The sequence below is a fragment of the Homo sapiens genome, chromosome 15 (assembly GCF_000001405.40).
Source record: "Homo sapiens chromosome 15, GRCh38.p14 Primary Assembly".
Lineage (NCBI taxonomy): Eukaryota > Metazoa > Chordata > Mammalia > Primates > Hominidae > Homo > Homo sapiens.
In genome coordinates, this window is record NC_000015.10 from 83217088 (window position 1) to 83230153 (window position 13066).

Genomic DNA, 13066 nt, shown 5'->3' on the forward strand with positions numbered 1-13066 from the left:
CTCAACCAGGAGCGATTTTGCCCCCCAATGGACTTCTGGCAATGTCTAGAGATATTTTTGATTGTCACGACTTGTGGTGAGGATGCTACTACCATCTAATGGGTAGAGGACAAAGATGCTGCTAAACATTCTGCAGTACACAGGACAGCACCTCCCACCCAACAAAGAATTCTCCTGCCCATGTCTTAAATGTCAATAGTGCACAGTTGAAAAATGCTGCTATAGATGAAGAAACATTACATAAAAATAAAAGGGTCAATTCACCAGAAAAAATAAAATAATTTATATACACTAATAACATTACCTCAAAATATATAAAGCAAAAAACCTGACAGAATTAAAAGGGGAAAAGAAAAATTCAGTTATGGTGGGAGGTTTCAATACAGTTCTCTCAGGAACTGATAGAACAAGTAGACAAAAAATCAGTAAGAATATAGATGACTCAACACAAATAATAAATACAATCTTATTGATATATTTAGAATAAAGTACTAAACATCTACAGAATACACATTATTTTCAAATACACATGGAACATTTACCAAAATTGTCCATATGCTAGGCAATAGAGTAAGTCCTAGTAGCTTCCAAATTATTAAAATTAGGCATAGTATATTCTCTGACCACCGTGGAATCAAGCTAGAAATCAATAACAAAAAGAAAACTAGGGCCTGGCGCGGTGGCTCATGCCTGTAATCCCAGTACTTTGGGAGGCCAAGGCAAACAGATCACTTCAGGTCAGGAGTTTGTGACCAGCTTGGCCAACACGGTGAAACCCCATTTCTACTAAAACTACAAAAATTAGTCAGGCATGGGGGCGTGTGCTTGTAATCCCAGCTAACTTGGGAGGCTGAGGCAGGAGAATCGCTTGAACCCAGGAGGCAGAGGTTGCAGTGAGCTGAGATCGTGCCATTGCACTCCAGCCTGGGCAGCAGAGCAAGACTCCATCTCAAAAAAAAAAAAAAAAGAAAAAAAGAAAAGAAAGAAAAAAGAAAACTAGGAAATTCCCAAATATTTGGAAATTAAACAATATATTTATTGCCTAACTTAAGATAACCTATGAGTCAAGGAAGAAATCACAATGGGAATTAAAATATATTTTGAATTGAATAATATTGCAGCCAAAGCAATCCTAAGAAAAAAGAACAAGGCCGGGCACAGTGGCTCACGCCTGTAATTCCAGTACTTTGGGAGGCCGAGGTGGGCAGAGCACAAGATCAGGAGTTCGAGACCATCCTGGCTAACACGGTGAAACCCCATCTCTACTAAAAATACAAAAAAAATTAGCCGTTTGTGGTGGCGTGCACCTGTAGTCCCAGCTACTCGGGAGGCTGAGGCAGGAGAATCGCTTGAACCCAGGAGGTGGAGGTTGCAGTGAGCCAAGATTGCGCCACTGCACTCCAACCTGGTGACAGAGCAAGACTCCGTCTCAAGAAAAGAAAAAAAGAACAAAGCCAGAGGCATCACATCACCTGACTTCAAACAATGCTACAATTCTGCAGTAACCAAAGCACCATGGTGCTGGTACAAAAAATAGAAACATACACCAGTGGAACAGAACAGAGAACACAGAAATAAGGTCACACACCTACAACCAACTGATCTTTGACAAAGTCAACAAAAATAAACAATGGGGAAAGGACACCCTATTCATAAATGGTACTGGGGAAACTGGCTAACCATATGCAGAAGAATGAAAGTCGACCCCTACCTCTCACTGTATACAAAAATTAATTCAAGATGGAGTAAAGACTTAAATATAAGACCTAAAACTATAAAAATCCTAGAAGAAAACCTAGGAACTGCTATTCTGGACATTGGCCTTGGCAAATAATTTATAACTAAGTCCTCAAAAGCAAATGCAGTAAAAACAAAAAATTTGACAAGTGGGACCTAATTAAAGAGCTTCTGCACAGGAAAAGAAGCTATCAACAGAGTAAACAGACACCTATAGAATGGAGAAAATATTCATGAACTATGCATCTGACAAAGGTCTAATATCCAGAGTCTATAGGGAACTTAAACAATTCAACAAGAAAAAAACAACCCCATTAAAAAATGGGCAAAGGACATGTCTCAAAAAAAGACATGAGGCCAGAAACATATGAAACAATGCTTATCATCACTAGTCATCAGAGAAATGCAAACCAAAACCACAATGAGACACCATATCACACCAGTCAGAATGGCTGTTATTAAAAAGTCAAAAAACAATAGATGTTGGCAATGTTGCAGAGAAAAGGGAATGCTTATAGGTGCGACTATAAGTTAGTCCATCCCCTGTAAAGGCAATTTGGAGATTCCTCAAGTAACTAAAAATAGAACTACCATTTAATTCGGCAATCTCTTCACTGGTTATATACCCAAAGGAAAATAAATCATTCTACCAAAAAGATACCTGCACTCTCATGTTTATCACAGCAGTATACACAACAGTAAAGGCATAGAATCAACCTAGGTCACCATCAACAGTAGATTGGATAAAGAAAATATGATACATATACACAGAATAGTATGGATCCATAAAAAAGAACAAAATTATGTCATCTACAGCAACATGAATGTAGCTGGAGGCCATTATCCTAAGTGAATTAATGCAGAAACAGAAAATCAAATACCATAAATTCTCACTTATAAGTAGGAGTTAAACATTGGGTACACACAGGCATAAAGATGGGAAAAATAGACTCTGGGGACTGGAAAATGGGGAAGGGAGGGTACAGGGCAAGGGTTGAAAAACTACCTATTGGGTACTATGTTCACTATTTGGGTATCAGGTTCAATTGAATCCCAAACTTCAGAATCATACAATATATCCATGTAAAAAAACCCTGCACAGGTACCCCTAAAACTAAAATTAAAAAAAGGAAAAAATAATAAATTGATCTTAAATACAATTTGTGTGTAGCTTTAAAAAATGAATAATATTTGGAACACAATGTATCTAAACTTGGGGGATGAGCTAAAGCTGTTTAGGGAATCATAAATACATATATTAGAAAAAAAGGATGAAGAACAGAAAGTTAAACCTTACAAAGGAGAACGAAAGAATGAAGAGCAGAAATTAATAAACAATAAAAATATTTCAAAGAGAGAATCAAAAATGCCCGAAGTTGGTTTATAAAAAAAAATAAATTGGACAAGCCTCTGTCAAGTCTGATCAAAAGAAGTACAGAAAGCACACATAACAAATATGAAGGGTGAAAAAGGGCACGTCATTTCAAATCTTACAGATATTTAAAATAACAAAAAGGCCATTGTGGAAAATTTTAAGTTTTGAGTTTCATTAAAAATTTTAAGTTTCATTTGAAAATATACGTGAAATGGACAAGAAAACACATCTTAACTAAATTGACATAAGAAGAAAGAGAAATGTGAACAGTCCTAAAGCTACTAAAGAGATAGGTTTTGGCTGGGTGCAGTGGCTCACATCTGTAGTCCCAGCACCCTGGGAGGCCAAGGTGGGAGGATCACTTGAGCCTAGGAGTTTGAGACCATCCTGGGCAATATAGTGAGACCCTGTCTCTATAAAAAAATTTAAAAAGATAACCAGGTGTGGTGATGTACGCCTGTGTTCCCAGCTACTTGGGAAGCTGAGGCAGAAGGATCACTTGAGCTCAGGAGTTTGAGGCTGCAGTGAGTGAGACCCTTTCTCTTAAAAAGAAAGGAAAATAAATTTCATCCATAATAAAAAAAAATACTCTTCCAAAGAAAATTCCAGGCCCAGATGGCTTCACTAGTAAGTCATAACATTTTAGGAAGAAATAATGCCAATATCACACAAACTCAGAGAATAGAAAAAGAGGGAATACTCCCTGACTTGTTTTATGAGGCTAGCACAATCTTAATACTAAAACATGACAAGTAAAACACAAGAAGGGAAAATACCAATCTCTCTCATAACATAGATTTAAAGAATCTCAACCAAAATATAAGCTAGCCAAATTCTGGTATACATAAAAAAGATAATACATATGGAAAAATTGAATATAATCTAGAAGTTAACATTTAGGAAACAATCAGTGTCATTTACCACATTAATAGATAAAGGGAGAAAAATCTCATGATTAGACATTAAGGAAAAGTGATAAAATGAAGCATACATTAAAAAAACAGTAAACTAGGAATAGATGGGAATTTTCTTAATAAAATAAAGGGTATCTACAAAAACAACATACTTAATGGTGAAATGCTGAAACATTTCTCTAGGCTTGTGAACAAGACAAGGATATCTGCTATCACCTCTTCTATTCAAGATTGTATTAGAGTTCTTAGCCTGGAAAATAAGGTAAGAAAAAAGTGTTCAGATTGGAAAATAATACACCATTATTTACAGATGACATAATTATGTATATAAGACTAAATGATTATAGTTAAGCTATTGCAATCAACAGGTAAATTCAGCAAGTTCATAGGCCAAAAGGTCAGTATAAAAAAATCAATTGTGGAGGTTCCAAGATGGCCGAATAGGAACAGTTCCACTCTACAGCTCCCAGCATGAGCGACACAGAAGATGGGTGATTTCTGCATTTCCAACTGAGGTACCAGGTTCGTCTCACTGGGGCTTGTCAGACAGTGGGTGCAGGACAGTGGATGCAGCCCACCGACTGAGAGCCAAAGCAGGGCGAGGCATCGCCTCACCCGGGAAAAACAAGGGGTCAGGGAATTCCCTTTCCTAGCCAATGGAAGCTGTGACAGACAGCACCTGGAAAATCAGGTCACTCCCACCCTAATACTGTGCTTTTCCAATGGTCTTAGCAAACGGTACACCAGGAGATTATATCCTGTGCCTAGCTCGGAGGGTCCCATGCCCACAGAGCCTTGCTCGTTGCTAGCACAGCAGTCTGAGATCGAACTGCAAGGTGGCAGCGAGGCTGGGGGAGGGGCGTCCGCCATTGCTGAGGCTTCAGTAGGTAAACAAAGAGGCCGGGAAGCTCGAAGTGGGTGGAGCCCACTGCAGCTCAAGGAGGCCTACCTGTCTCTGTAGACTTCACCTCTGGGGGCAGGGCATAGCTGAACAAAAGGCAGCAGAAACTTCTGCAGACTTAAATGTCCATGTCTGACAGCTTTGAAGAGAGTAGTGGTTCTCCCAGCACGGAGTTTGAGATCTGAGAACGGACAGACTGCCTCCTCAAGTGGGTCCCTGACCCCCAAGTAGCCTAACTGGGAGGCATCTCCCAGTAGGGGCTGACTGACACCTCACACGGCTGGGTGCCCCTCTGAGATGAAGCTTCCAGAGGAACGATCAGGCAGCAACATTTGCTGTTCCGCAGTATTCGCTGTTCTGCAGCCTCTGCTGGTGACACCCAGGAAAACAGGGTCTGGAGTGGACCTCCAGCAAACTCCAGCAGACCTGCAGCTGAGGGTCCTGTCTGTTAGAAGGAAAACTAACAGAAAGGACATCCACACCAAAACCCCATCTGTACGTCACCATCATCAAAGACCAAAGGTAGATAAAACCACAAAGATGGGGAGAAACCAGAATAGAAAAGGTGACAATTCTAAAAATCAGAGTGCCTCTTCTCCTCCAAAGGAATGCAGCTGCTTGCCAGTAACAGAACAAAGCTGGACAGAGAATGACTTTGAGAAGTTGAGAGAAGAAGGCTTCAGACAATCAAACTTCTCCGAGCTAAAGGAGGATGTTTGAACCCATCGCAAAGAAGCTAAAAACCTTGAAAAAAGATTAGATGAATGGCTAACTAGAATAACCAGTGTAGAGAAGTCCTTAAATGACCTGATGGAGCTGAAAACCATGGCACGAGAACTACGTGACACATGCACAAGCTTCAGTAGCCAATTCAATCAAGTGGAAGAGAGGGTATCAGTGTTTGAAGATCAAATGAATGAAATGAAGTGAGAAGAGAAGCTTAGAGAAAAAAGGGTAAAAAGAAATGAACAAAGCCTCCAAGAAATATGGGACTATGTGAAAAGACCAAATCTGCGTCTGATTGGTGTACCTGAAAGTGATGGGGAGAATGGAACCAAGTTGGAAAACACTCTGCAGGATATTATCCAGGAGAACTTGCCCAACCTAGAAAGGCAGGCCAACATTCAAATTCAGGAAATACAGAGAATGCCACAAAGATACTCCTCAAGAAGAGCAACCCCAAGACACATAATTGTCAGATTCACCAAAGTTGAAATGAAGGAAAAAATGTTAAGGGCAGCCAGAGAGAAAGGTTGGGTTACCCACAAAGGGAAGCCCATCAGACTAACAGCGGATCTCTCAGCAGAAACTCTACAAGCCAGAAGAGAGTGGGGGCCAAAATTCAGCATTCTTAAAGAAAAGAATTTTCAACCCAGTATTTCATATCCAGCCAAACTAAGCTTCGTAAGTGAAGGAGAAATAAAATCCTTTACAGACAAGCAAATGCTGAGAGATTTTATCACCACCAGGCCTGCCCTAAAAGAGCTCCTGAAGGAAGCACTAAACATGGAAAGGAATAACCAGTACCAGCCACTGCAAAAACATGCCAAGTTGTAAAGACCATTGAGGCTAGGAAGAAACTGCATCAACTGACGAGTAAAATAACCAGCTAACATCATAATGACAGGATCAAATTCACACATAACAATATTAACCTTAAATGTAAATGGGCTAAATGCCCCAATTAAAAGACACAGACTGGCAAATTGGATAAAGAGTCAAGACCCATCTCACATGCAGAGACACACATAGGCTCAAAATAAAGGGGTGGAGGAAGATCTGCCAAGCAAATGGAAAACAAAAAAAAAGCAGGGGATGCAATCCTAGTCTCTGATAAAACAGACTTTAAACCAACAAAGATCAAAAGAGACAAAGAAGGCTATTACATAATGGTAAAGGGATCAATTCAACAAGAAGAGCTAACTATCCTAAATATATATGCATCCAACAAAGGAGCACCCAGATTCATAAGGCAAGTCCTTAGAGACCTACAAAGAGACTTAGGCTCCCACGCAATAATAATGGGAGACTTTAACACCCCACTGTCAACATTAGACAGATCAACAAGACAGAAAGTTAACAAGGACATCCAGGAATTGAACTCAGCTCTGCACCAAGTGGACCTAATAGACATCTACAGAACGCTTCACCCCAAATCAACAGAATATACATTCTTCTCAGCACCACATCACACTTATTCCAAAATTGACCACATAGTTGGAAGTAAAGCACTCCTCAGCAAATGTAAAAGAACAGAAATTATAACAAACTGTCTCTCAGACCACAGTGCAATCAAACTAGAACTCAGGATTAAGAAACTCACTCAAAACTGCTCAACTACATGGAAACTGAACAACCTACTCCTGAATGACTACTGAGTACATAACGAAAAGAAGGCAGAAATAAAGATGTTCTTTGAAACCAGTGAGAACAAAGACACAACATACCAGAATCTCTGGGACACATTTAAAGCGGTGTGTAGAGGGAAATTTATAGCACTAAATGCTCACAAGAGAAAGCAGGAAAGATCTAAAATTGACACCCTAAAATCACAATTAAAAGAACTAGAGAAGCAAGAGCAAACACATTCAAAACCTCGCAGAAGGCAAGAAATAACTAAGATCAGAGCAGAACTGAAGGAGACAGAGACAAAAAACCCTTCGAAAAATCAATGAATCCAGGAGCTGGTTTTTTGAAAAGATCAACAAAATTGATAAACCACTAGCAAGACTAATAAAGAAGAAAAGAGAGAAGAATCAAATAGATGCAATAAAAAATGATAACGAGGTTATCACCACCGATCCCACAGAAATACCAACTACCATCAGAGAATACTATAAACACCTCTATGCAAATAAACTAGAAAATCTAGAAGAAATGGATAAATTCCTGGACACATACACCCTCCCAAGACTAAACCAGAAAGAAGTTGAATCCCTGAATAGACCAATAACAGGCTCTGAAATTGAGGCAATAATTAATAGCCTACCCACCAAAAAAAGTCCAGGACCAGAAGGATTCACAGCCGAATTCTACCAGAGGTATAAAGAGGAGCTGGTACCATTCCTTCTGAAACTATTCCAATTGATAGAAAAATAGGGAATCCTCCCTAACTCATTTTATGAGGCCAGCATCATCCTGATATCAAAGCCTGGCAGAGACACAACAAAAAAAGAGAATTTTAGACCAATATCCCTGATGAACATCAATGCAAAAATCCTCAATAAAATACTGGCAAACCACATCCAGCAGCACATCAAAAAGCTTATCCACCAAGATCAAGTGAGCTTCATCCCTGGGATTCAAGGCTGGTTAAACATACGCAAATCAATAAACATAATCCATCATATAAACAGAACCAAAGACAAAAACCACATGATTATCTCAATAGATGCAGAAAAGCGCAGTATTAGGGTGGGAGTGTCCTGATTTTCCAGGTACTGTCTGTCACAGCTTCCCTTGGCTAGAAAAGGGAATTCCCTGACCCCTTGCACTTCCGAGGTGAGGCAATGCCCCACCCTGCTTCGTGGGCTGCACCTACTGTCTGACAATCCCCAGTGAGATGAACCCGGTACCTCAGTTGGAAATGCAGAAATCACCCGTCTTCTACGTCGCTCACGCTGAATGCTGCAGACTGGAGCTCTTCCTGTTCAGCCATCTTGGAACCTCCCCAGCTCCACGTTTAGCTGTAGTACTTTGATAGTTTCATTTTTAAATACAAGTTTTGATTTCTTTAGAATTGTTTTTTGGTGGCGAGAGTGAATGGATATAACTCCTCTACTTTCCAATAGTTAGGCCATTGTACAGTTTCAATTATTAAGTCATCTCCCCACTGATCTGAAATACTGTTTATCATATCCCAGATTCCTGTCTATTCTTGGGTTTATTTCTGTACTCTTAATTCTCCTCCATTGATTTATCTATTCCTGTACCAATGTTACTCTTCTATTTCTGGATATCTGGGACATTTTTGTGTGTGTGGTTTTTTTTTAGAATAATTTTGCAAACATTTTCAACTTAAATAAAAAAGTGAATGAATATTCATTGATTTTTTTATTACACCACATTTATGAAATTGAGCATCTCTATCTAAGATTAAATCTGTCTTTGTATTGGTTCATGTCTATTTTAAGTTTTTTTTCTTTTCTTTTCTTTTTTATTTTTTGAGACAGAGTCTCACTCTGTCACCTAGGCTGGAGTGCAGTGACGCGATCTCAGTTTACTGCAACCTCTGCCTCTTGGGCTCAAGCAATCCTCCCACCTCAACTTCCTGAGTAGCTGGGATTACAAGCACCCACCACCACACCCGGCTAATTTTTCTATTTTTAGTAGAGATGGGTTTTGCCATGTTGGCCAGGCTGGTCTCCAACTCCTGGCCTCAAGTGATCTGCCCACCTCGGCCTCCCAAAGTGCTGGGATTACAGGCATGAGCCACTACGCCTTGCCATATTTTATGCTGTTTTTTGATAGGTTTTAAAGATTTTATTTATTTACATCCATATGATAGATATATGCTTAGCTTATATAAGTCCTATATATTCACTTTATTCCTAGGATTTTTAAAAACCAGGTATAACTGACATTCAACAAACTGTACATATTTAAGGTATAGAATTTGATAAGTTTTGACAGATGTATGTAACTATGAAAGCACCAACATAGTTAATATGGTGATACATTCATAATACACAAAAGTTTCTAATACTCCTTTGTAATCACCAGTTCCCCAAGCAAACACTGATCTACTCTGTCACTATAGATTAGTTTGCATTTTTTAGAATTTCATGTAAATGGAATCATACAACATGTACTCTTTTTGTCTGGCTTCTTTTACTCGACATAATTATTTTGAGATTCATTCATGTTGTTCTGCGTATCCATCATTCACTTTTTTTCATTGCGGAACTGTATTCCATTGTACGAATATGCCACAATTTGTTTATCCATTCAGCTGCTGAAGGACTTAGGGTGGTATCTAGTTTTTGGCTATTACAAATAAAGCTGCTATGAATATTTCTATATAAATATTTGCATGGACATGTGCTTTCTTTTCTATTTGGCAAATCCCTAGAAGTGAAATGTTTGGGTCATGCGATAGATATATGCTTACCTTATTAAGAACTGCCAAGCTGGCTGGACACGGTGGCTCACGCCTGTAATACCATCACTTTAGGAGGCCGAGGCGGGCGGATCACGAGGTCAGAAGATAGAGACCATCCTGGCTAATCCGGTGAAACCCTGTCTCTACTAAAAATACAAAAATTAGCCAGGTGTGGTGGCACGTGCCTGTAGTCCTAGCTACTGAGGAGGCTGAGGTAAGAGAATCGCTTGAACCTGAGAGGCAGAGGTTGCAGTGAGCCAAGATTGCACCATTGCACTCCAGCCTGGGCGACAGAGCAAGACTCCGTCTCAAAAAAAAAAAAGAACTGCCAAGCTATATTGCACAGTGGCTGTAATCATTTTATATTCCTATCAGCAATGTGTAAGATTGTTTTGGATCCTGCTTTTTAGTTTTACTGTATTATTAAAACACAATGGAGTCAGATTTTATTCTACATTTTGGAATTTATGTAGGTTTTCTTTATGGCCTTACAAAAGATTGATTTTTATAAATGTGTTGGTACTTGAAAGTATTCACTATGCTCAGGATATAGAATTCAAACTTATTGATTATATAATTCAGAGCCTTTATAGGCCTACTTATTGTGTCTATCATGTGCAGAGTAAATGAATTATAGTCTCTTACTGCTATTATGTTTTTGGCAATTTCTTCTTATTTTCTGCAGTTTTGTCTTATGAATTTTATTTATTGCAGAAAGATTCATGACTGCTATTACTTCACTGTGGATTGTTCCCTTTAACATTTTAAAGTCTCTCTCTGTTTTGCAAACTACTTTTAAAATTTAATTTAACCTTACCCAATTTTAATATTACTATCCTTGTATTCTTTTGGCTAAGTTTTTAAAGATTTTTATTATGGAAATTTTCAAACGTGCAAAAATATGAAAAGAAACCAGTATAATGGATATACATTGTATTATACAGTTTTAGCAAATATCAACTGTTGGACAATCTTGTTTGTATTCTGTACACATCCTTTATACCTAGGTTACTTTGAAGCAAATCCCTGATATTATATAATTTCATCTGTAAATATTTCAGTGTGTATCTCTAAAAGATAAAGACCCTTAACAATAACTACAATACCATTATCATCCTTAAAATTGACAATAATTCCCTAATATCATTCAGTAAAATAGCCAGAGTTCAAATTCACCTAATTATTTTATAAATTTGTTAATGGTCTTTTCATTCAAATCATGAACCAGTTAAAGCCCATACGTAGTAATTATGTAATTTAAACTATAGGCTTTCCACTTCATTTATTTCTTTTCCTTGCAATGCATTTGTCAGAGATCAGATTATTTCTCTGCAGTTTCCCATTGCCTTGATTTTGAAGAGTTCATCCCCGTGGTGATGTTGCCCCTTGTTGCCTGGGCAACAAGAGTGAAACTCCATTTCAAAAAATAATAATAATAATAATTGCAAAATAATGAGTTGATTCTCTAGTATTCACCAAAGATAACTACTAATTTCTCTCTTTTTCTTGTGTTATTATAGGAATGCATGGATTTAGAATGTTTGATAGATTTCAATCCATTGAAATCATCATTTTTATTTATTTATTTTTTTATCAGAATGAATTACTTTTTGAGTCATCTTTTTTTATAGGTTATTGGGATGCAGGTGGTATTTGGTTACATGAGTAAGTTTTTTAGTGATGATTTGTGAGATTTTGGTTCATGCATCACCTGAGCAGTGTACACTGCACCCTATTTGTAGTCTTTTATCCTTTGCTCCTCTCACCCTTCTCCCCAAGTCCCTAAAGTCCATTGTATCATTCTTATGCTTTGCATCCTCATAGCTTAGCTCCCACGTATCAGTGAGAACATACGATGTTTGATTTTCTATTCTTGAGTTACTTAGAATAATAGTCTCCAATCTCATTCAGGTTGCTGAAATGCCATTAATTCATTCCTTTTTATGGCAGTAGTATTCCATCATATATGTGTGTATATATATGGTGTATATATATACGGTATATAGTGTATATATATACTATACTATACATGGTATATATACTATATACTATATATACTATATATAGTATGTATACACGCTACTATATATACTATATATGGTATATAGTATATATACACACTACTATATATACTATATATGGCATATAGTATATATACACACTACTATATATACTATGTATGGCATATAGTATATATACACACTACTATATATACTAAGTATGGCATATAGTATATATACACACTACTATATATACTAAGTATGGCATATAGTATATATACACACTACTGTATATACTATGTATGGCATATAGTATATATACACACTACTGTATATACTATGTATGGCATATAGTATATATACACACTACTGTATATACTATGTATGGCATATAGTATATATACACACTACTGTATATACTATGTATGGTATATAGTATATATACACACTACTGTATATACTATGTATGGTATATAGTATATATACACACTACTGTATATACTATGTATGGTATATAGTATATATACACACTACTGTATATACTATGTATGGTATATAGTATATATACACACTACTGTATATACTATGTATGGTATATAGTATATATACACACTACTGTATATACTATGTATGGTATATAGTATATATACACACTACTGTATATACTATGTATGGTATATAGTATATATACACACTACTGTATATACTATGTATGGTATATAGTATATATACACACTACTATATATACTATGTATGGTATATAGTATATATACACACTACTATATATACTATGTATGGTATATAGTATATATACACACTACTATATATACTATGTATGGTATATAGCATATATATACTATATACTATATATGGTATATAATATGTATACACTACTATATATACTATATACCGTATATAGTATATATATACACTACTATATATACTATATACCGTATATAGTATATATATACACTACTATATATATACTATATATGGTATATAGTATATATATACACTACTCTATATACTATATATGGT

The 13066-nt window shown here is 37.0% G+C and overlaps 2 annotated features.

The window, feature by feature from the left end:
* Positions 4037–5236: an enhancer, noted in NCBI's record as "BRD4-independent group 4 enhancer chr15:83889876-83891075 (GRCh37/hg19 assembly coordinates)". NCBI's record gives its function as "activates an origin of replication core promoter dependent on BRD2, P300/CBP, MED14 and CDK7 cofactors, and independent of BRD4, by STARR-seq in HCT116 cells {active_cell/tissue: HCT116}" and the evidence as "EXISTENCE:reporter gene assay evidence [ECO:0000049][PMID:35650434]".
* Positions 7819–9018: an enhancer, noted in NCBI's record as "MED14-independent group 3 enhancer chr15:83893658-83894857 (GRCh37/hg19 assembly coordinates)". NCBI's record gives its function as "activates an origin of replication core promoter dependent on BRD2, BRD4, P300/CBP and CDK7 cofactors, and independent of MED14, by STARR-seq in HCT116 cells {active_cell/tissue: HCT116}" and the evidence as "EXISTENCE:reporter gene assay evidence [ECO:0000049][PMID:35650434]".